A 24119-nucleotide genomic window follows, 5' to 3' on the forward strand; every position below is an offset into this window, starting at 1 on the left:
CCTGGAACCTTTCTTGGGTTTTATCTGCGCAGCCCCAGCTCTGCAGCAGTGCTCGGTGTGTGCGAGGAGCTTGGTGTGTATTTGCTGAATACAAGTACAGGGCCCTGGAGGGCCAGAGACACGGGTGAGCTTGTGGGCCCACCAGTTGCCCAGTGTAGCAGACGGGTGTGATAGGGTGTCCTCAGGGACAGGCAGGCTTTCTCTGCCGATCCTTGAGCATTCAGTCCACAGGTGTCGTTTCTGTTCCTGATTTGTTCCTTGGCAGGACTCTAGAGCTGAAAGCTGCTGAGCCTTGTGATGCCTCACTGTCCTCATTAGAAAAACTGAGCTGATAGCCTTCTTAGTAGGGTTATGAGATTTAAATATTGGTGCTTGAACAGGATAGCATCTGGTATGCACCAGATGCTAAACTCATTTCTGTCTGTCATACATCCCAGCTGCTGTTGCTGTGTAAGAGGCTGTGGTGTGAGACAACAGCAGCCTTCTAATTTTCTCACATACTCTGTGGATCAGGAGAGCTCACAGCAGCAGGCTTAGTTCTGTTGCTGGTACCTGGGGCCTCGGCTGGGGAGACTTGAGGTTCAGGAGGTGGTGACTCATGAGGGGCTGCGGGAGCCGTGCCTCTCACGCACCTGCCCTGGTGCTGGCTGTGAGGGACCCCTCTGGGCCCGTGGCTGTGGCATCTGCTGTGAGGGACCCCTCTGGGCCCGTGGCTGTGGCATCTGCTGTGAGGGACCCTCTGGGCCCGTGGCTGTGGCATCTGCTGTGAGGGACCCTCTGGGCTGTGGCATCTGCAGGGGCCTCTCCCCAGGGCTGCTTCTCTTCCTCACAGGGAAGTATCTGGAGCTGCAGCCCAGGAGGACCAGGCAGAAACCCATTGTCCTGGGAGGCCCATGATACCTTCTGTCCTGGGTTGAGCCCAGCGGCCGCAGAAGGAGCACAGACTCCCTCTGTGTGCACAGCATTTGGGACGTGAGTCTGTTGTGGCTGTTTTTGGAAAATACAGTCTGACACAAGATATTTTAAACCCACAGAATATTTGTCCTTCCTCTGTTGTTCAACTGCTGTTATAACTTGTTTTCACTTTTATTTTATAATATTTAAGTTTTGAAGTAGCCAAAGGAACACATTTTATAATAATGTGTCATTTTAGACTAGTGAATAATTTTTAAAAATCTGTATTTCTGTTACCTTTTATTCCAGGAGGTAGAGAAGTATTTTCTGGCATGTCAAGAATTAACTGCCATTGATTTAAATGGCATAATGAAAAAGCAGCTCACTACAACACTGAAAATAAATTATTTTAAACATTCTAACTTTATACTTTTCTATTTAGAGAAGAACCAAAGATGATACCTGGAAAGCAGATGACCTCAGAAAACATCTCTGGGTAATTATTGTAAAGATTTGGATTGGGATCTGTGCAGGACTCGTGTGGTTTTCTTGGACCTGCTTTACCTGGTACACAACACTGTATAACTTTGGTTATGTGTGCCTCATTTCAGAAGTACTTTGAACTCAGAGGTGAAGGTGTACGGCTAACAATCCCTCTGGAACGTTGGTTAAGCCAGCTGGACACTCCCACTGCTCGTGGGGCTCTGCCATGGCTCAGGGGCCTCCGCACTGCTTTAGGGCAGGGAGTGCTCACTTCAGGGGCCGCAGCGGTGGGTGGGGAGAGGGGCTTTGGGATTGAGAGAGAGTCCTGAGAGTTTTAGAACGAGGGTCCTTGTTTGTATGGGGCCCAGGCGGTTTGTGTCTTAGCGACTTTAAAACACAGCTTCAGTATCTCTCTTTTAACACATGTAGTATTTTATTTATTTATTTTTAGTTAATTAATTTTACTCTTTTTTTTAGAGACAGGGTCTTACCGTTTTGCCTAGGCCGGAGTGCAGTGGCGAAATCATAGCCCACTGCAGCCTTGACCTTCTGGGCCTGAGCTGTCCTCCCACCTCAGTCTCTTGAGTAGCTAGGACTACAGGCATGAACCACCAGGCTTGCTAATTTTTTAATTTTTTAATTTTTTAATTTTTTGCGGGAGAGATGGGGATCTTGCTATGTTGCTTGGGCTAGTCTTGAACTCCTGGCCTCAGGTGATCCTCCTGCCTTAGCCTCCCAAAGTGCTGGGATAATAGGTGTGAGATACCATGCCTGGTCCTACTTATTTTTTTTGAATTTTACTTTATTTTCCATATTTTGGGGGTACAGGTGCAGGTTTCTTACATGCATATCTTGTGGAGTGGTGAAGTCTGGGCCGTTAGTGCTCCTGACACCCGAATAGTACCTGTCACCCGAATAGTGAACATTGTACCCAATGGGTAATTTTTCACCCTCTAATACACGTAGTATTTTAGATTTGATTTGCCGATCAGTGTGAATGTCCATGATATTGGGGCGCTGGTGGGCAGTTGTAGAAATCTAAGCTTGACTCCATGTCCTTTAGTGTTCTAAGAACATCCATGCAGGCTTTGGCCCGTCTGGGATTGGAAACTGGGATTGGAAAGCAGTTGAATGCAAATATGTTTTAAGGCCCTTCAGCTGTGTGTGCTTCTCACATTCAGGTATTAAAAGTCTAATGGAAATCTGCCTTCCTGGTCACGGAGGACCCTTTGTTCTCTTGTTTCAGGCCATACAGTCAGGTGGTTCCAAGGAAGAAAGAAAGCACAGAGAGAAGAAGCTGCGTAAGGAGTCTGAGATGGACCTTCCTGAACATAAGGAGCCGAGGTGCAGGGATCCCGACCAGGATGCCAGGAGCAGAGACAGGGTGGCCGAAGTCCACACCGCTAAGGAGAGTCCTCGTGGGGAGAGGGACAGAGACAGACAGAGGGAGAGGAGAAGAGACGCAAAAGACCGGGAGAAAGAAAAGCTGAAGGAGAAACATCGAGAGGCAGAAAAGTCTCACAGCAGAGGAAAGGACAGGGAAAAAGAAAAAGACAGAAGGGCCCGGAAGGAAGAGCTCCGGCAGACCGTGGCCCACCACAACCTGCTGGGCCAGGAGACACGCGACCGGCAGCTCCTGGAGCGGGCGGAGAGGAAAGGCCGCTCAGGTGGGTCCCCGCTTGCCTTCCTGTGGTTCCACCCGAGGTGCCGCGTCGCTGCTGGTGACAGGTTGATAGCTCGCTGCCTCCCCTCCCTCTCTCCCCCGCTTCCCTCCTTCCCCTTTCCTTTTTTTTCTGGACAGGGTCTTGCTCTGCCCCCAGGCTAGAGAGCAGTGGTGCCATCACAGCTCACGGCAGCCTCAACTTCCTGGGCTCAAGGGATCCTCCCACCGCAGCCTCCCAAAGGACTGGCATTACAGACATGCCACTGTGCCCAGCTGGCTCTATTTCTTTTAAAAGTTCTTGCTGTTTGGGACATTTTCCTCTTTTGAAATGTTCATTTGTTATTTTTGTTTTCTCTCATAGTTTTCACAAATGTTTTATCTTTGAAGTTAGAGGTTCCTGTTCTCTCTGTTGCGGGGTGTGTGTGTGTGTACTTTTTATCATTGTTTTTCTTTTGGTATTTTAAAAACTTGTTCAGGCCAGGTGTGGTGGGTCATACCTGTAATCCCAGCACTTTGGGAGGCTGAGGTGGGAGGATCACTCCAGCCCAGGATTTTGAGACCAGCTTGGGGAACACAGGGAGACTCCATCACTACAAAAAATAAAAAAATTAGCTGTGTGTGGTGGCGCTTGCCTGTAGTTCTAGCTATTTGGTAGGCCGAGGTGGGAGGATCCCTTGAGCCCAGGAGGTCGAGGCTGCAATAAGCTATGATTGTGCCACTGCACTGCAGCCTGGGCAACAGAGTGAGACCCTGTCTCAAAAGAAAAACAAAAGCTCTAAAAACCATTTAGCCAGCTGGGCGCGGTGGCTCACGCCTGTAATCCCAGCACTTTGGGAGGCCAAGGTGGGTGGATCACCTGAGGTCAGGAGTTCGAAACCAGTCTGGCCAACATGGTGAGACCCTGTCTCTACTAAAAATACAAAAAATTAAGCCAGGCATGGTGGCGTGTGCCTGTAATCCCAGCTACTCAGTAGGCTGAGGCAGGGGAATTGCTTGAACCAGGGAGGTGGAGGTTATAGTGAGCTGAGATTGTGCCACTGTACTCCAGACAGAGCGAGACTCTGTCTCTAAAAGAAAAAAAAAACCATTCAGCCAATGAAAGGAATAACAATTTTCTCATTATTAGCTAGAGTTTTACTATTAAAACATATTTTAGGGCCAGGCACAGTGCCTCATGCCTGTAATCCTAGCACTTTGGGAGGCCGAGGTGGGCAGATCACTTGAGGCCAGGAGTTCAAGACCAGTCTGGCCAACATGGCGAAACCCCATCTCTACTGAAAAAAAAGAAAAGCAAAAATTAGCTGGATGTGGTGGCACAGCTGCTTGGGAGGCTGAGGCATGAGAATCACTTGAACCCGGGAGGAGGAGGTTGCAATGAGCTGAGATCACGCCACTACACTCCAGCCTGGGTGACAGAGCGAGACTCTGTCTAAAAAAAAAAACCCAAAAAACACAACCATATTTTAGACTTATTATCTCAATAAGGCTTATTATCTCCGTAAATCTGAATCCTCATCGTAAATAAACAAAAATAAACCTCTTTGATAAAAAATATTTTCTAAAAGTGTGTTTTATTTTATTTAGCTAAATTCCTAGGAACTGTAAGGTAAAGGTACATACTTTTTTTCCTCCCCAAATGGAAATTTCTTCAGTATTTTTTGGTTATATAGGTAGTATATGCTTCTTACAAAAATGTAAACTAGCGCATATAAATGCAGAAGGAATCTGTTAGAAGAACAGGTAGTCACTCTTAGAATCAGCAGAAGGGTTAGAAGGCCTGGCTGTGAAAAGGATGGAAACGAAGGGCCTTTACTCATTGCCACCATTAGATGTCTCTTATAGACACGGTGATCTGTTTATCCCCTTCACTGCTGGTGGCCATTTGAGTCGTTTGAAGATTTAGACTATTAGGAATAAGGCTGCTAAGAATGTTATCATGTGTATTTTTTGGTGTTCATATATGTGCGTTTCTGTTGGGGTGGAATATACATGAGGTGGAATGGATGGGTTAGTTGGGTTACCACTAATTTTGTTTTCTTTAAAAATATATTTTATTTGTTGATTTATTACTTAAAGAAATAAAGTAGAGTCAGGGTCTTGCCCTGTCGCCCAGGTTGTAGTGCAGTGGTGTGATCACAGCCCACCACAGCCTTGAACTGAGTAGCAGAGTCTCCAGGCTCGCACCACTGCACCTGGGTAATTTATTATTCTTTTTGGAGATAGAGTCTCACTCTGTTGCCCAGGCTGGAGTGAAGAGGCGCGATCTCGGCCCACTGCAGCCTCCGCCTCCCTGGTTCAAGTGATTCCCGTGCCTCAGCCTCCCGAGTAGCTGGGACTATAAGCACACGCCACCACACCTGGCTAATTTTTTGTATTTTTAGCAGCGACGGGGGTTTCACCATGTTGGCCAGGCTAGTCTTGAACTCCTGAGCTCAGACAATCCACCCACCTTGACCTCCCAGAGTACTAGGATTATAGGCGTCAGCCACAGCGCCCGGCCAGCACCTGGATAATTAAAAAAAATTGTTTGTAGAGATGGGGCTCCACATGTTGCCCAGGCTGGTCTTGAACTGGTCTCTAGCAGTCCATTTATCTTGACCTCCCAAAGTGCTAGGATTATAAGTAGGAGCTACTGCACTTGGCCTAATTAATTTTTTTTTTTTTTTTGAGATGGACTCTCACTCTGTTCCCCAGGCTGGAGTGCAGTGGTGTGATCTTGGCTCACTGCAGCCTCCGCTTCCCAGGTTCAAGTGATCCTCATGCCTCAGCCCCCTGAGTAGCTGGGGTTATAGGCACGTGTCACCACGCCCTGCTATTGGCCTAATTAATTTTAACAGTAGCTGTCCTACTATTTAATGCTCTTTTCAAAATTATTGTTTTTGATGTTTTTGGTATTTATTTGCAATCAAATCTTTTGTTCTCAGATCACCCTTTTTTGGCTGCCTGCTCATTTTTTCAGTGTGGTGTTGAAAGGAATTGTACTGGAAAGACTTTTGAAAACTGATCGTAGACTAGACTCTCTAGTTCTTTCCTCTGTACATCTCTTCTCATCTCCTTTCTTTCCACAAAGCCCATCTGTGCAGTGTGGCCTTTATCCAGGGCTGGGTCCCCAGGCCTCCTCTCCAGCAACCCCTTGCCCTTGCTGGCTGGATCTAGTCTCATGGTTTTAAATACTGTTTGTCTGTGTCCTTATTTCCAAGTTTTTACCCCCAGCTGGGCATCATCCCTGAATTCCAGGCTTGTGTATCCCCTGTGCTTTGAAGTCTAATGGGTAATACAAACGCAGTGTACCCCACATGAAGCTTCCGGTAGCCCCTCCACACTGGCTGTCCTGCAGGCTTGCCTGTCTCAGTTAATAGCACCTGCATCCTCGCGTCCTGAGGTCACAAGACCTGGGATATATCCTGATGCCCTGCTTTCTCTTCCAGTCTCTTGGAGAGTCCTGGGGTTTCAGCCTTGAAAATCTACCTGTTCTGGGGCCCTCCCTCTGTAACCCAGACTCCTAGAAGAGTGCTCAGTGCTTGGTAAATGCCTTTTTTTTTTTTTTTTTTTTCTGAGAAGGAGTCTCGCTCTATTGTCCAGGCTGGAGTGCAGTGTTGCAGTCTTGGCTCACTGCATTCTCTGTCTTCTGGGTTCAAGCAATTCTCTTCCTTAGCCTCCTGAGTACCTGGGATTACAGGCGCACGCCACGACGCCCGGCTAATTTTTGTATTTTTAGTAAAGGTGGGGTTTCACCATGTTGGCCAGGCTAATCTTGAACTCCTGACTTCGTGATCCACCTGCCTCGGCCTCCCAAAGTGCTGGGATTACAAGTGTGAGCTACCGTGCCCAGCCTGGTAAATGCTTTTTGAATGAATGCACTTTGCCTCAGTGATCTTTGAAAGTTTAACTTTGCCCTGATCTTTTAAAGTGTCCACTCTCTGAATTTTACATCTGATGCCTTTTTTGTGTGCAGATTCAGAAGTGAAAGTCCAGCTTTCCTTGTTGGATGATGCTTTGGTGTCATCGGTACCTGCCTGGCTCTGTTTGCCCCCGGTCTCTCTTGCAGGTCATACTGGGCCTTGGTGCTTCAGCCTCCCCAGCCCAGGATGGATGCCGTAGTCTGGTGCCCTGGGGAGTCAGCTGCACCTGGCTTCCTTGTTGATTCAGGGGCCTCTGGCTTCCTTGGTCCCCTCAGCAGTGGGGGTGCCAGGAGGTTTGGGGGCTGCTCTGGGTCCTCAGTGCATCCAGGAGGGCAGGCATTTCCCTGGAGCTCACATTTGGCTAAAGTGTTGGCCGACTGGGCTGGTTCTCCTGTTCAGACTAAGCCCTGCTTCTGCGTGATATGCAGAAACCCTGAAGGCTGTATGAGTTTGGTCTGGTGCCCTCTTGAATTTCCAAGGGTTACTCAGACATTTGCCTGGTTGCTTCAGCAGCAAACTGAGTGAGGCAAGAAATCTCTCTGTTCCTTAGTGTACGAGTCTGTCCTCATACTGCTGTAAAGAAACACCTGGGGCTGGAGAATTTATAAAGAAAAGAGGTTTAATTGACTCACCATTGTGCGGGCTGTACAGGAAGCATGGCTGGAGAGGCCTCAGGAGACTTACAGTCTTAGGAGAAGGTGAAGGGAAGCAGTCACGTCTTACAGGGCCAGAGCAGGAGGAAGGGAGAGAGTGGGGAGGTGCCATACGCTTTGAAACAACCAGATCTTGTGAGAACTCACTCAGTATCACAAGAACAGCACCCAGGGGGAAATTCACCCCCATGATCCAGTCACCTCCCACCAGGTCCCACCTTCAGCATTGGGGACTACATTTCAGCGTGAGATTTGGGTGGGGACACAGATCCAAACCATATCACTTAGATTGCCATGTTCATCTCCTTCTTCATTTTAAATTTGATACTAGAACTCTTCATTCTTGAGTTGGAGGCATGTGTTTTAGTTGAAGAATATTTTCAAATACATATTAACGAATATAAAATGTGCAATACCATCCATAGCAAGATGTTAAAAGAGTTTTTTGATGTGCTAACATTTGGGAGTATTAAAAATATGTTTTACTTCTTGTAGTAAGTAAAGTAAGAAGTGAAGAGAAAGATGAAGACTCTGAAAGAGGAGATGAAGATAGAGAAAGAAGATACCGAGAAAGAAAGGTATACGAAGCAAGGCCTGGGGAAAAGTTTTCCAAATGTTGCCAAGTAAAGGATGTTTTAAGCATTATTGTTGGAAGCATTTTTAGAAAATGTCCTAAGCCAGGATTTCAGTCCTGGAAAAGGCCTCCAGCACTGTGTATAGTCAGTTTCTTTCTCCTCATAGTCAAGTGCGTTTTTCTGATTCCAAAGGTAGTATGTGATGATATTAGAAAATTTAGAAGATACAAATAAGTAGTAAGAAAACAAAAACTGTCTAATCCTCACCCACAGGTAAGTATTGATAGCATTTAGGTATGTATTTTTCCAGGTTTATATATTTGTGTATGTATAACATTGTTTTCTTTAGATTTTTACTGTTTTATAAGTTGTTTAAACGGAACACATTTTGAGCCTTTTCCTGAGTGATCCTGTCTCTCCCCGTGTTTCAGTGAGCGTGCAACTTGGTGTTTCGCGGTGCGGGTGTGTTGGTGCTCTCCAGGCACCTGCGGTTCCGGATTGGTGTTCCGCGGTGCGGGTGTGTTGGTGCTCTCGAGGCACCTGCGGTTCCGGATTGGTGTTCCGCGGCGCGGGTGTGTTGGTGCTCTCCAGGCACCTGCGGTTCCGGATTGGTGTTTTGCGGTGCGGGTGTGTTGGTGCTCTCCAGGCACCTGCGGTTCTGGACACTTAGGTTGTTTCTGTGTGTTTGTGTTTTTTCTTTAAATTATAAAGACATCCAGATGGTATGCTTTTTGGTTCGTTCATAATTATTTCCTTATGATTAATTTCTGAAAATGAACTTGCTGGATCAAAGTAAATGTAAACTTAACTCATTAGCTTTACATAAAAGTTGTAATTATTTATATCATCAGAGCATAATTCCTTATGTCCTAAGCAGGAGCTGGGCATCATCTTCGTTTAAAAGTTTTGCTCATTTGATTCAGAAGAAAATGGCATTTCTGGGCATTTTTAAAAGCAGGTTTACTGTCTTTTGTTATTTACCACTTGTGTACTTTTGCTTATTTTTTTTCTCTCTTTTTTTTATTTTTTAGAGACAGGGTCTTGCTCTGTCACCCAGGTTTGAGTGTTTTAGTCACAGAGATGGTTAAACTCTGGTCCCATTTTCAAGACTCTCCATCTGCGTGGGACTAATTAGGAGAGAAAGAGTGATGTGACATGTCCATATGAGAGATGTGGCAGCCTTGTGCTGTCATACTCACCGGAGAAGGCATCTCTCAGAGAAGTCAGAGCTTGCTCAGGAGGGACCCCAGGGCTGGCGGAGCTTAGGCTGAGGGCCACCAGCATGAGGGATGAGGCTGTGGAGGCCAGGAGGGCTGACTGTGAGTGCCGGGTGCCATGTGGAGGGGCCAGGAGGGCCGACTGTGAGTGCCAGGTGCCATGTGGAGAGGCCAGGAGGGCCGACAGTGAGTGCTGGGCATCATGTGGGGAGGCGAGGAGGGGAGGCCAGGAGGGCTGACTGTGAGTGCTGGGCATCATGTGGGGAGGCGAGGAGGGGAAGCCAGGAGGGCCGACTGTGAGTGCCGGGTGCTGTGTGGGGAGGCCAGGAGGGCCGACTGTGAGTGCTGGGTGCCATGTGGAGAGGCCAGGAGGGCCGACTGTGAGTGCTGGGCACCATGTGGGGATGCCAGGAGGGCCGACTGTGAGTGCCGGGCACCATGTGGGGAGGCGAGGAGGGGAGGCCAGGAGGGCCGACTGTGAATGCCGGGTGCCATGTGGGGAGGCCAGGAGGGCCGACTGTGAGTGCCGGGCGCCATGTGGGGTGGCCAGGAGGGCCGACAGTGAGTGCCGGGTGCCATGTGGAGGGGCCAGGAGGGCCGACTGTGAGTGCCGGGCGCCATGTGGGGATGCCAGGAGGGCCGACTGTGAGTGTCGGGCGCCATGTGGGGAGGCGAGGAGGGGAGGCCAGGAGGGCCGACTGTGAATGCCGGGTGCCATGTGGGGAGGCCAGGAGGGCCGACTCTGAGTGCCAGGTGCCATGTGGGGTGGCCAGGAGGGTTGACTGTGAGTGCTGGGCACCATGTGGGGAGGCGAGGAGGGCAGACTGTGAGTGCCGGGTGCCATGTGGGGAGGCGAGGAGGGGAGGCCAGGAGGGCCGACTCTGAGTGCCAGGTGCCATGTGGGGAGGCCAGGAGGGCCGACTGTGAGTGCCGGGCGCCATGTGGGGTGGCCAGGAGGGCCGACTGTGAGTGCCGGGCACCATGTGGGGAGGCCAGGAGGGCCGACTGTGAGTGCTGGGTGCCATGTGGGGAGGCGAGGAGGGGAGGCCAGGAGGACTGACTGTGAGTGCCGGGTGCCATGTGGGGAGGCCAGGAGGGCCGACTGTGAGTGCTGGGTGCCATGTGGAGAGGCCAGGAGGGCCGACCGTGAGTGTCGGGCACCATGTGGGGAGGCATTGCTTTCTCTGTGGGAGCGAGGTGGCTGGGCTGCAGAGTTACTGTGTGGCGTTGGGGTGACAGCAGTGTCTGACCATGGACCATGACATGAATAGGGTTTTTCCTTACACAAGGGTAACAGATTAAGTTTTCAGGAATATATCTGACAGTGGAATTGAGGAGTGAAGGGGGCAGTGGTAGTTCTGTAAGTTTTCCTCCTTTTATTGTAACATTTATAAAGACAGCACAGTCGTCCCTTGGTATCCATGGGAGAAGGGCTCCAGGACCCCCTCAGATACCAAAATCCATGAATACTCAAGTCCCCCATATAAAATGGTGTAGTGTCTGCATATAACCTACGCCCTTCCACCGGGATGCTTTAAATCGTCTCTATATTACTTAAAATCCCTAATGCAATATAAATGAGATGCAAATAGTTGTTATTGTTTAGGGTGTAATGACAAGGAAAAAGTCTGTACATGTTTACTACAGACACGATTTTCTTCAAATGTTTTTGATCCGTGGTTGGTTGGATCCGTCGTTGCAGAACCCACAGAGAGGGAGGGCTGGCTGCACTCCTATTTGATGTGCTCCTGTGTTTCTCAGCTTGTCGTGTTTTACAGCTGCAGTACGGAGACAGCAAGGACAACCCTCTCAAGTACTGGCTTTATAAAGAAGAAGGCGAGAGGAGACACAGGAAGCCCAGAGAGCCAGATCGAGACAACAAACACCGAGAAAAAAGCAGCACAAGGGAAAAAAGAGAGAAATATTCCAAAGAGAAAAGTAATTCATTCTCTGACAAAGGGGAAGAAAGACATAAAGAAAAGCGACACAAAGAAGGTTTTCATTTTGATGATGAGAGGCACCAAAGCAACGTGGATAGAAAAGAGAAATCGGCAAAAGATGAGCCCAGGAAAAGGGAATCCCAGGTACCCCTTCTGATGCTTCGTTGCCTTAGCAGCCGCCCCGAGGCCGGCGCTTTCAGAGGAGGCTTACCGGGCGGTGTCGCCAGACAAGGTTGAGATTTGTGGCCTAGTAGTAGTAATTTAGGAAAAACGCAACTCAAGTCTTGATTACGTGGTTAGTATAGACAGATTACTGATCTCCTAAGGAATGTGCTGTCACATATTTTGATTATATCGTGAATGTACTTTTAACAGATATTTGGAAATCTATCATAAAACTTTGAAATTTGGCCAGGCGCGGTGGCTCATGCCTGTCATCCCAGCACTTTGGGAGGCCGAGGTGGGTGGATCACCTGAGGTCAGGAGTTCGAGACCAGCCTGACCAACATGGTGAAACCCCGTCTCTACTAAAAATACAAAAATTAGTGGGGCATGGTGGTAGGTGCCTATAGTCCTAGCTACCTGGGAGGCTGAGGTAGGAGAATCGCTGGAATCTGGGAAGGAGAATTGCTGGAACCCAGGAGGCATAGGTTGCAGTGAGCTGAGATCGCACCACTGCACTCCAACCTGGGTGACGGAGTGAGACTCTGTCTCTCAAAAAAAAATTTTTTTTGAAATTTAACATTGAAAAGGAAGCTGGTACGTTTTAAAGTGGAAATTAAGTGAATAATTAGCAAACGTTTCAACCAGAATTGGTATAAGTTTGCAAAAAAAGCAAAACAAGACAGAACAAAAATGTAAAAGCATTGATTGCAGAGGGTCTAATTTCCCTCCCAGGTCTGTGGTTTCATCCCTGTACTTAGGATTTTCCTAGAGGTGTTTTAGCACCTTTTGTTCTCATGAGTGTGCTTTTTGCTGCTGTTTTTACAGAATCCGAAGCTAATATGATCTTATTTACCTATTTCTTGGTGATGCTTCCTTTAAGATGGAAGCAAAATCTTTGCAAGAGTCAGGTGGTATCTGAGGCTAGGGGAGAGTCACACCTTCAGGGATGAGACTGGAGGCCTCAGCAGAAGCGCAGGACCCGGATCTCCTGATCTGAACTGACACAGCTGAGGAAATGGACGTAGAGCTGGTGGCCACTGCAGTGTTTACTGTAAAACGCGAATGCCAGTGGGTTAGAACTGGGAGCACTTAGGCCGAGAAGCAGTCGTGTTAGGAGCAGAAGCTGCCTGGCTCCCGGCCATCTCAGCCGCTCTTGGCGCTGTCCTGCATGGGGTCAGAGTCCTTTAACCTCCCTCGCCTTTGCCCTGGGGCCTTTCCTCACTGAGACCCCACTGTCTTCCGCAGCCCACGCCCTCTGTTTGCATCAGGGCGTTGGCCGTGTTTCTTAGCAGGTTTGAGGCAGTGCCGGTTCTGCTACCCGCGTCTACGGTGTGGAAAGCCTGGACTCCCCTCTAGTCAGCCACACGGAAGGTTAGTTGAGGCGGTCACTGAGAAGCAGCTCCTTGAGGACAGATACTCATTTTTTTTGTTTTTATTTATTTTTATTTATTTATTTATTTTGAGACAGAGTCTCGCTCTGTCGCCCAGGCTGGAGTGCAGTGGTGCGATCTCGGCTCACTGCAACCTTGGCCTCCCAGGTTCACGCCATTCTCCTGCCTCAGCCTCCCGAGTAGCTGGGACTACAGGCATGTGCCACCACTCCCGGCTAATTTTTTGTATATTTAGTAGAGACGGGGTTTCACCGTGTTAGCCAGGATGGTCTCAATCTCCTGACCTCATGATCCGCCCGCCTTGGCCTCCCAAAGTGCTGGGATTACAGGCATGAGCTACCGCGCCCGGCCATTTTTTTTGTTTCTAAATCTCTTTCCCTAGATCAAAACTTCATCATTTTCTCCCAACGTTGTGTTACGAACATTTTCAAACATACAGCAAAGTCGACGTAATTTTCCAAAGAACACTCTTGTACCCATAACTTAGACTCCGCTACTTGCCTTTTATTGAACTTGGCTATTCTCCATTCCCTAGATCATGTTTAATTACTGGAAGTGACTTAGGTTACATGTGCTTAGTTCCACCCAGAAATGCCTTTCTGGACATAGATTTGGCTTTTATTAAAGGTGAATGTGAAAAATGGTCGATGAAGAACATTATCCTGTATCTTTGTAAAACCACTGCCTTCAAATTAGTCCCAGAAGAAAGATTATTCAGACGACTGACATTTTCTTTTTAAGACAAGCTGTTCCTATCTGAGTGGCTTGTATGCTGGGCACTGTTCTAGGTGCTGAGGATACAGCTGTGAACAAAACAAAAATTACTGTTCTTATGGTGCTTATGTTGTGTTGGAGAAGCCATAGGATAAAGAACTACCAAAAAAAAACCACCTAAATCTCAGATAGGTGTGGTGGCTTACACCTGGAGTCCTAGCTACTCAGGAGGCTGAGGTTGGAGGATCTGTTGAGCCCAGGAGTTCAAGACCAGCCTGAGAAATATAGTGAGACCCCATCTCTACCAAAAAAAAAAATTTAGCCAGGCATGGTGGCACACAGCTGTAGTCCCAGCTACTACAGAAGCTGAGGTGGGAGGATCACTTGAGCCGAGGAGGTCAAGCCTGCAGTGAGCTGTGATCATATCACTGCAGTCCAACCTGCGTGGTACAGTAAGACCTTGTCTTAAAAAAGAGACCAGGCATGGTGGCTCACACCTATAATCCTAGCACTTTGGGAGGCCGAGACAGGTGGATCACTTGAGGTCAGGAGTTCGAGACCAGCCTGGCTAACATAGTGAAACCCTGTCTCTACTAAAAAATACACAAAAATTAGCCAAGTATGGTGGCACGTGCCTGTAATCCCAGCTACTTGGGAGGCTGAGGCAGGAGAATTGCTTGAACCTGGGAGGAAGAGGTTACGGTGAACTGAGATCGTGCCACTGCACTCCAGACTGGAGGACAGAGTGAGCCTTTGTCTCAAAAAAAAAAAAAAAAGGAAAAGAAATGAACAGATACACGATACAATATCAGGAATGGGGATCGAGCATTGTATAATTAAAGATTTTTTCCTTTGCGTTGACTTTCAGAAATTCAAAACTTTTGAGTACTTTTGATACTCAAAATTAGTATCAATTTTAGATATTCTTCAACTGAGTACTCTGAACCTACTGCTTGATGTAATTATCCTGTGGTTACCGTAAAGTGCAAGGTGCACTGCTAATAATTACGCCAGGACAACAGATAGAAACTGGGACTGTTCCCGGGGATGGATGTTCTCTGTGATTCTCTCTCACTTTCTCTATATGATATTTTTTCTTCTTCTTTTTTTTTTTTTTTTTGAGATTGAGTCTCACTGTATCGCCCAGGCCAGAGAGCAGTGGTGTGATCTTGGCTCACTGCAGCCTCCGCCTCCTGGGTTCAAGTGATTCTCCTGCCTCAGCCTCCCGAGTGGCTGGGATTACAGGTGTGCATCTGGCTTATTATTATTTTTTTTTTTTTTGTATTTTTAGTAGAGTTTCGCCATGTTGGCCAGGCTGGCCTCGAGCTCCTGACCTCAGGTGATCCTCCTGCCTTGGCCTACCAAGGCCAAGTGTTACAGGTGTGAGTCATGGTGCCTGGCCTCTATATGATTTTTGATCCATGATTTTAATTAGAATGATATAACTTTTATTGTAAGCTTCCTCCAGTTATCAATTTGAGATAGAGTATGAGTAAGTACAATAAATATACAAAATGTTCTAAGCTTCCTGACCAGTGACTTCTTTTTTTTTTTTTTTTTTTTTTTGAGACGGAGTCTTGCTCTGTTGCCCAGGCTGGAGTGCATTGGCGCAATCTCGGCTCACTGCAAGCTCCGCCTCCCGGGTTCACGCCATTCTCCTGCCTCAGCCTCCCGAGTAGCTGGGACTACAGGCGCCCGCCACCACACCCGGCTAATTTTTTTGTATTTTTAGTAGAGACGGAGTTTCACCGTGTTAGCCAGGATGGTCTCGATCTCCTGACCTCGTGATCCGCCCGCCTCGGCCTCCCAAAGTGCTGGGATTACAAGCGTGAGCCACCGCGCCCGGCCCAGTGACTTCTTTAATAGAAGAATCCAGTGGCCTCATCTCGTTGTTATCCTATCTGCCACACCTTTATCCTTTTAAAAAACAATTTTTTTTTTTTTTTTGAGATGGAGTCTCGCTCTGTCGCCCAGGCTGGAGTGCAGTGGCGCAATCTCTGCTCATTGCAAGCTCCGCCTCCCGGGTTCACGCCATTCTCCTGCCTCAGCCTCCCGAGTAGCTGGGACTACAGGCGCCCGCCACCACGCCCGGCTAATTTTTGTATTTTTAGTAGAGACGGGGTTTCTCCGTGTTGGTCAGGCTCGTCTATAACTCCCGACCTCAGGTGATGCGCCCGCCTTGGCCTCCCAAAGTGCTGGGATCACAGGCGTGAGCCACCGTGCCCAGCATAATCACCCTTTTATATATACTTTTATCCATTTTCTTTACATTTAATTATCTAATTTACTAAAAATAACTGGTAAAAATAGTTATTTTAAAAGGTACTTGTGATGTACATGCTGTTGTTAAATTTTGAATCTGTGCTTGTTTTGTGGGGTTTACTAATTATGCTTACTTCATTCCGATATGCTAATAAATGGTTATGGGATTATATTTTTGTTTGATAGAATGGTGAACACAGAAATCGAGGTGCAAGCTCAAAAAGAGATGGGACCAGCAGCCAGTAAGGATTGCATGCCCTGTGGTCGACCTTTACGTGTGCCGCTCTCATGGAATGCTTCAGGGAATTTTCTTATTGGCTCCGATGACGGCCAGTCCATGGCAATCAGTTATAGATATACTTCATTTTCTCTAGATTTTACCCCTTAGCCCCTCCAAATGGGTTGGTAGGTTTTTGGAATACTGGAGGAGCTTGGAAACTTAATATATTATTAGCTTTCTTTGGCCTTTTAAATTAATTATATTTTAATTTTTTCATTTTAATATTATTGTTTGTATTTATTGCCTCAGGATCTACTTTTGTCCTTTTTAACATTTGCTCATGCAAAATTAGAAAATTGGTACTCACTTTGGGGAGAATAATTCACTTGGGAGTCACTTAATGTGCAAGAGGGAGTCCTCCCTGCCTGAAGCTAAAGCAAATCCGCAGGTGGGCAGTTTTGCACCTTTACGCACCTGAGCAAACCATTCTGGTTCACAGCCACTAAAAACAGGACGTGCCGGCGAGTCCCCCTCTGCCCACTGTTTATCACTTGTGAACACACGGGATAACATTCCGCCCTCAGGCCTTGGCAGAGACCCCCAGAGCTGGGGGTGGGGGTCAGCCTTGGTTGGAATTTCCTGTCTACCTCTTAGTTGCAGTGTTGGGTGGCTTTTCGCTAAAGCAGTGATGATAATTCCTGTCTCGTGTGGGTTTTGCAATACATAATTGGAGTTTATGTATAAACTCTTTTTTTTTTTTTTGAGACAGAGTCTCACTTTGTTGCCGAGCCTGGAGTGCAGTGGCGCAATCTCGGCTCACTGCAACCTCCGCCTCCCAGGTTCAAGCTATTCTTCTGCCTCAGCCTCCCAAGTAGCTGGAACTACAGGCACATACCACCACACCCAGCTAATTTTTGTATTTTTGGTAGAGATGGAGTTTCACCATGTTGGCCAGGCTGGTCTTGAACTCCTGGCCTCAAGTCATCCACCTGCCTTGGCCTCCCAAAGTGCTGGGATTACAGGCGTGAGCCACTGTGCCTGGCCTAAACTCTCATATGTAAGCCCTAGACTTTAATTTGTTCTTTCTGACAATCATATTTTGTAATCGTTTTTCAAAGATTAGAAAACCCAGGTTAAATATCTTACCCAAATTTTTACAAGTTTGGGCAAAGCTAACACTTAAACCTAGGGTGTCAATTCCTGGATTTTATACTGCATGTCCACTAGAAGGCACAATAAGACTTTTTTTGCTCAATTCTGTATTTTTGTTAAACCGCATGGTATATTGATATGAATGAAAGTTTAAAAATTGAGAATCAGTTTGATATTTTGCAAATCTTTATTTTAGGTCCTAACATGAAATGTGATTAAAATATAAAACATTTCAAGATAAATCTTTCTTTTAGAAAGATTTTATATTTTTATTTTATATTACATATTATATAACATATTTATATTTTATATATATCTTTTATATTTAATATAAAATAGTATTTCAGATAGACCAATAAAATTATAGAAAATTTCTACAACTCTTTTTATTTTTTGTTTTGTGATGGAGTCTTGCTCTGTCGCCAGGCTGAAGTGCAGTGGCATGATCTCGGCCCACTGTAACCTCTACCTCCCTGGTTCAAGCAAATTCCCCTGCCTCAGCCTCCTGAGTAGCTGGGATTACAGGCACACGCCACCACGCCTGGCTAATTTTTTTGTATTTTTAGTAGAGATGGGGTTTCTCCATGTTGGCCAGACTGGTCTCGAACTCCTGACCTCAGGCAGTCTGCCCACCTTGGCCTCCCAAAGTGCTGGGATTACAGGTGTGAGCCACTGCGCCCGGCCGAGAACTTGTAAAGGATGTAGATTTGCACTCACAAGTTTGTTAAAACACATAATTTCTTCTCTGGAAGATATTTTCTGTCTTGAATTATTGCTAAAATAGTAAGAATGCTAGGAAGACTTTAACATTTATTGCTCTAATAAAACATGCTTTGCTAACCTGAAACAGTTTTTTAAAAAAATTATTTTTTGAGAAAGGGTCTTTCTCTGTCGCCCAGGCTGTAGTGCAGTGGCACAATCATGGCTCACTGCAGCTTCAAACTCCTGGGCTCAAGCAAACCTCCTGCCTCAGCCTCCCAAGTAGCTGAGACTACAGGCATGTGCCACCATGCCAGGCTAATTTTTTATTTTTGTAGAGATGGGGTCTACTCTGTTGCCCAGGCTGGTCCCGAACTCCTGGCCTCAAGTGGTCCTCCTGCCTCAATCTCCCAAATAGCTGGGATTACAGGTGCAAGTCATCGCTCCTGGTTGTAGTAGTTCTTAATCATATCAAAATATTGTTAAGAGCTTTCACTGATATGGAAAATGTTTTATTTTTTAAAAGCTCTCATTTAAAGTAAGTTTTGATTTTGATTATGTTTGCTTTCCAGGCATGCTGAGAATTTAGTAAGGAATCATGGAAAAGATAAAGATTCAAGACGGAAGGTAAGGCAGTCTCCACTGAGAATACATTGATTTTATGGTACATTGAGATTAACCATAATCTTACTTTGGGCTTCCCCTTGAAACCAGAGGCCGAGACAGGGCTCATTTGCAGATGGTTTATTCGAGTGGTGATCCCAGAAGGCACACTGGAGACTCACTTTAGGTTAGAAGATGCAAATTGATTGAAAGTAAAAAGGTGGACAAAGAGAATCTATCAGACAGCAGCTATGAGAGGGCTGGATTGGCTACACTAGTATCAGATAAAACAGATTTTGAGACAGAAAGTGTTACTAGAGAGAGACAATTCAGAATGAGCAAATAATTGGTTCAGCAGAAGGCGATAAAACAATTGTAAATGGATATTTACCTAACAAGAGGGTCCCAAAACACAAGCAGCAAAAACTGACAGAATTGAAGGGAGAAAGAGACAATTAATAATAATAGTAACTTTAGCACCCCACTTTCAGTAACAGGTAGGACAATATTTTATGGTAACAAATTAGGTAATTTAGATGAAAGGACAAATTCCTAGAGACTATCAGTTACTAAAACTGCTGGAAGCAGTAGCCTGAATAGACCTATAGTGAGTCAAGACATTGCGTTTGTGTTACAGATCTCCCCACAAAGTCGCTCAGGCTCTGATGGCTTCTCTGGCAAATTCTACCAAGCACATGTTATTAATAGACACTTGTTACTAACACACAATCATCATCCCTCTCCTTGCATAATTGTTTCCATGTGTTAAGCTACCTTGTGACATGTATTTATGCACAGGGAGAATTGTACCCTGTGCTGAGCTTGTCAATTAGTACATCAGCGTTTCTCCACAGTCTTCATTATCTTCACTGTCTCCATTAGGATCATAAGAGTAGGCTTTGTAATGATTACTTAGTGACTCTAAAATAGCACACTGTGGAGTTAGGGTTATTATCAAACCATTGTCCTTTTTTTTTTTTTTTTTTTTTTTTGAGACAGGTCTCACTCTGTTGCCCAGGCTGGAGTGCAGTGGCACGATCTCGGCTCACTGCAACCTCCGCCTCCCGGGTTCAAGCGATTCTCCTGCCTCAGCCTCCTGAGTAGCTGGGACTATAGGCATGCGCCACCATGCCCGGCTAATTTTTGTATTTATAGTAGAGATGGGGTTTCACCATATTGGCCAGTCTGGTCTGGAACTCCTGACCACATGATCTGCCGACCTCGGCCTCCCAAAGTGCTGGGATTACAGGCGTGAGCCACCGCACCCAGCCTTTTTGTTTTGTTATTACAGATAATGTGGCAAGCATATTTTGGATTCTATGAATTATTTCTGGAGAATAATTTTTTCTTCTTTGATCGTTATCTGAAACCCATGATTCTGAGGTAATCATATTTAACAATTTTGTGCCATACATACATATATATATATATATACGTTGAGATGGAGTCTCACTCTGTTGCCCAGGCTGGAGTGCAGTGGCGTGATCTCAGCTCACCTCAACCTCTGCCTCCTGGGTTCAAGCGATTCGTGCCTCAGCCTCCTGAATAGCTGGGATCACAGGCATGCGCCACCACACCCAGCTAATTTTTGTATTTTTAGTAGAGACAGGGTTTCACCATGTTGGCCAGGCTGATCTTGAACTCCTGACCTTAGGTGATCCACCTGCTTTGGCCTCCCAAAGTGCTGGGATTACAGGCGTGAGCCACTGCGCTTGGCCTTTGTGCAGTATTTTTATGAATTGCTTTATTCTATGTCCGTACACAAACATAATTTTACATAAATTAGGTCATACAGCACCTGTTGTTTTGACGTGGATGTTTTATTTCTTTAATTTTGGTGGTGGTGGTTGGATTGCTTATTATCTGGCTATAGCCACACATTTACCACAGAAAAAAATACCTACAAATATTTCTTCTCATATAATCTTTTATAATCATATATTGGTATGTATATTTAGGAGTTTGGAAGCCAGTTTTAAACATTTACACACACACACACACACACACACACACACCCCTCCTGTTTTTCTTTTTTTTTTTTTTTTTTGACATGGGGTCTCGCTTTGTCACCCAGGCTGGAGCGCAGTGGCGCGATCTTGGCTCACTGCAAGCTCTGCCTCCCGGGTTCACGCCATTCTCCTGCCTCAGCCTCCTGAGTAGCTGGGACTACAGGCGCCTGTCACCACACCTGGCTAATTTTTTGTATTTTTAGTGGAGACAGGGATTCACCATGTTAGCCAGGGTGGTCTCGATCTCCTGACCTCATGATCCACCTGTCTCGGCTTCCCAAAGTGCTGGGATTACAGGTGTGAGCCACCACGTCTGGCCACCCCTCCTGTTTTTCCTAGTTCATAGTGGAAATCCCTCCAGTTTGGACGATATAGATCTACCGCATTTTTTTTGTGGATACATTTCTTGAAGTGGAATTGTGGAAATACTGGATGAAAACGTATAGATTTCTTTTCCTATTTTCTTCATGTTTCCCAATTTTGTCTCTAAGCTCCAGGTTGGCATTGTTAACTAGAATTATAATGTGAGCCACATTTATAATTTTAAATTTTATTTTGTATTTTTATTGAAAAAAATAGGCCAGATGTTCGAGACCAGCCTGGGCAACATAGGAAGTCCTCATCTATATAAAAACAACAACAACAACAAAATTAACAAAAAGGCCAGGCATGGTAGCTCAGGCCTGTAACCCCAACACTTTGGGAGGCCGAGGCAGGGGGATCATCTGAGGTCAGGAGTTTGAGATCAGCCTGACCAACATGGTGAAACTCCCGTCTCTACTCAAAATACAAAAATTAGCCGGGTGTGGTGGTGGCCTCCTGTAATCCCAAGCTACTTGGGAGGCTGAGGCAGGAAAATCGCTTGAACCCGGGAGGTGGAGGTTGCAGTGAGCCGAGATCGTGTCACTGCACTCCAACCTGGGCCACGGAGTGAGACTCCTTCTCAAAAAAAAAAAAAAAAAAAAAAAATAGAGGTAGGGTCTTGCTCTGTTGCCCAGGCTGGTCTCGAACTTCTGGGCTCAAGTGATCCTCTTGCCTCAGCCTCCTAAAGTACTGGGATTACAGGTGCGAGCCACCACAACTGGCCTATAATTTTAAGTTTTCTTATAGTCACATTAAAAACATACAGAAGAAACATGAAATTAATTTCATAACATCTTATATAATCCAATAAATCTAAAATAGTATCCGTGCAACCTGTAATCAGTATAAAAATTATCAGTGAGGTAACCAATGGGATATTTTACATTCTTTTTTTTTCTTTTCCAGAGGAGTAAAATATATGATGTGTTTTTTTCTAGAAAAATTTCAGTTGATTGTGAATGTATCTAACAGCTTGTTTTGGCTCTGATTAGATCCTGATTTTACAGCAGCAACACTGAATTTATCTTGGTTCAATTCTTCAGCATTTATGGAGTGCCTGCTATGTGCCAGAATAGTTTTCTGGACACATGGGAAGTTCTTTTTCTATTTTCTTCATGAATAATACTTTATACTGTCACCAGTTTTAGACACTGCCTAGTTTTGGGTAGTGACTTCTTTTTTTTTTTCTTTGAGACTGAGTTTCGCTCTTGTCGCACAGGCTGGAGTGCAACCTCTGCCTCCTGAGTTCAAGAGATTTTCCTGCCTCAGCCTCCCAAGTAACTGGGATTATAGGCACCCGCCACCATGCCTGGCTAATTTTTTTATTTTTAGTAGAGACGGGATTTCACCATGTTGGCTAGGCTGGTCTTGAACTCCTGACCTCAGGTGATCCGCCCGCCTCGGCCTCCCAGAGTGCTAGTATTAGAGGCGTGAACCACTGTGCCCAGCCTGGGTAGTGACTTCTAAGTGCATAGATCTTCCTAGTGTCATTGACAAAGGTGACATTTGCAAGGCTTTTTCTTCATCAGATGCAGGGATCTGGACTTCATGTGTATCCTTTTATCCACTCCTCTCACTGCTACTGTGAAGCAGATGCCATAATTCTGATTTTTCAGAAGGGAAAGCCGAGGCACAGAGGGTTGAAGATACTTGCTCTAAGTCACACAGTTTGTCAGCCACCAGGCTGGGACCTGCATCCCAGAGCGTTAGTTTCGTAGTCTGTGCACCTGTTTGCTGAGGGCTGGCGGGCTCCGCAGTGGTGGGGTGGGGGGGAGCTGCGTGGCGTGTGCCCTGGAGTCCCACCTGTGTCCTGGCTGATGGGGCTGTTCTCTCTCCATTAGCATGGCCACGAGGAAGGCTCTTCTGTGTGGTGGAAGCTGGACCAGAGGCCGGGAGGCGAGGAAACCGTGGTAAGGAGAGTACGTCTTCTTATAGTTTGCAATCCTGTCCCAGCACAGACCCACTCACATTTGCTTGCTTTCCTGTCAGCATTTTGCTAGTGCAATTATTGTCCCTTTCAGACAGCAGAACATGAGCATGAAGGGACAGATGAGATTTTCATATGAAATTCATACTTGCCCTTGTTTGAAGTCCTCGGTCATGTTGAAAGCTGTCTGGGTTGTGGGGGTCAAGGAATGTAACTGGGTTGTGTGCACACCGTCAGGTACTTGAGCCTCTTTCTTCCTGGAAGAGGAGAGGATTTTGCAAAGAAATTGGAGGGAAGAGGTTTAGGGTGAATGAACAGACAGCCTTCCCATTGTTGCTCTGTGTGTAAGTTGAAGAAAGTGAGGAGATTTGAAGACACCTAATAGAGAAATCACAAAAGACACGATCCAGGCCATGGTTGCTGAGAATTACACAAAGTTATAAATAATTTTCAGAATATATATGCAAAACTGGATAGATCAAGGAAATGCAGGTATCCTCATATAAGGGAAGAATTGCGGACGGGGCCTCTGAAGGACGTAGCGCGGAGCTTGATGCAGAGCACGGCCTCGTGTGAGGGAAGAATTGCGGACGGGGCCTCTGAAGGACCTGGAGCGGAGCTTGATGGAGAGCACTTGGGGCTCTCCTCGGGGCAGGTGAACTCCTGGTGATGGGGGTTTCTTGTTCCTTCTCAGGGGTGCGTGCCCCAGTGTGGTTCTAGCTCTGCACAGAAGTGACGGTGTCTGCTGCGTACTCCACTGTCTCCTCACCTGGCTGAGTGCCTGGCCCACACTAGGTGTGTTTGCAGAGTAAATGAACTGTAGTTTCAAAATCCTGGCCAGACATAGGACTTGACTAAAAGCCACTGGGTCTGCTGAGTTGTACGAGAATAAGAAATGTGATGGTGTTAGTTTTCGTTGAAAATTCCTGTTTTCTTCTTGTCAGTCAGCAGGCGTTGTATTTACTGATACAATAAATGTAGTATATGTTATTTAATATAATGTACCATGACTTTATATGATAATGTGCAATGACTTTATATGATAATGTGCCAAGAGGACCTTATTTATTTTTATAAGACTTTATTATTTTTTATTTTATATTTATTTTGAGTCAGGGGCTCGCTCTGTTGCCCAGGCTGGAGTGCAGTGGCACGATCATAGCTCAGAGCAGCCTTAGACTCTTGGGATCAAGCGATTCTCCTGCCTCAGCCTTTTGAGTAGTTGGGATCATAGGCATGAGACACTACTCCTGGCTAAGACTTTATTTTTTTTTTAGAGCAGTTTTA

At 46.2% G+C, this 24119-nt stretch overlaps 1 protein-coding gene across 27 annotated transcripts in view, besides 2 other annotated features; it reads left to right on the top strand.

Moving 5' to 3' along the window:
* Window positions 1-24119, top strand: part of DYNC2I1 (dynein 2 intermediate chain 1) — a 119454-nt gene that overhangs the window by 29274 nt on the left and 66061 nt on the right. For 14 of the 27 annotated variants that reach the window (XR_007060058.1, XR_007060061.1, XR_007060060.1 and 11 more), the window contains exons 2-8: window positions 1337-1390; window positions 2624-3044; window positions 8091-8173; window positions 11166-11471; window positions 16046-16101; window positions 18503-18557; window positions 22747-22824. Coding sequence is in view for 15 of the 27 variants with exons in the window: in XM_006716041.3 (XP_006716104.1) it covers window positions 1337-1390; window positions 2624-3044; window positions 8091-8173; window positions 11166-11471; window positions 16046-16101; window positions 18503-18557; window positions 22747-22824 (1053 nt within the window). In the remaining 12 variants the exon portion in view is untranslated. Of the gene's footprint in view, window positions 1-759; window positions 973-1336; window positions 1391-2623; window positions 3045-8090; window positions 8174-11165; window positions 11472-16045; window positions 16102-16372; window positions 16528-18502; window positions 18558-22746; window positions 22825-24119 lie in introns of those variants that run through there. The other 13 variants (NM_001350914.2, NM_001350918.2, NM_001350917.2 and 10 more) reach the window with 5 other exon arrangements.
* Window positions 9494-10171: an enhancer, noted in NCBI's record as "H3K27ac-H3K4me1 hESC enhancer chr7:158670703-158671380 (GRCh37/hg19 assembly coordinates)". NCBI's record gives its function as "activates a minimal SCP1, AML or CMV promoter by ChIP-STARR-seq in naive H9 embryonic stem cells {active_cell/tissue: H9 hESC(naive)}" and the evidence as "EXISTENCE:reporter gene assay evidence [ECO:0000049][PMID:30033119]".
* Window positions 10172-10848: an enhancer, noted in NCBI's record as "H3K27ac-H3K4me1 hESC enhancer chr7:158671381-158672057 (GRCh37/hg19 assembly coordinates)". NCBI's record gives its function as "activates a minimal SCP1, AML or CMV promoter by ChIP-STARR-seq in naive H9 embryonic stem cells {active_cell/tissue: H9 hESC(naive)}" and the evidence as "EXISTENCE:reporter gene assay evidence [ECO:0000049][PMID:30033119]".

This window comes from Homo sapiens, chromosome 7, assembly GCF_000001405.40.
Source record: "Homo sapiens chromosome 7, GRCh38.p14 Primary Assembly".
NCBI classification, from domain to species: domain Eukaryota; kingdom Metazoa; phylum Chordata; class Mammalia; order Primates; family Hominidae; genus Homo; species Homo sapiens.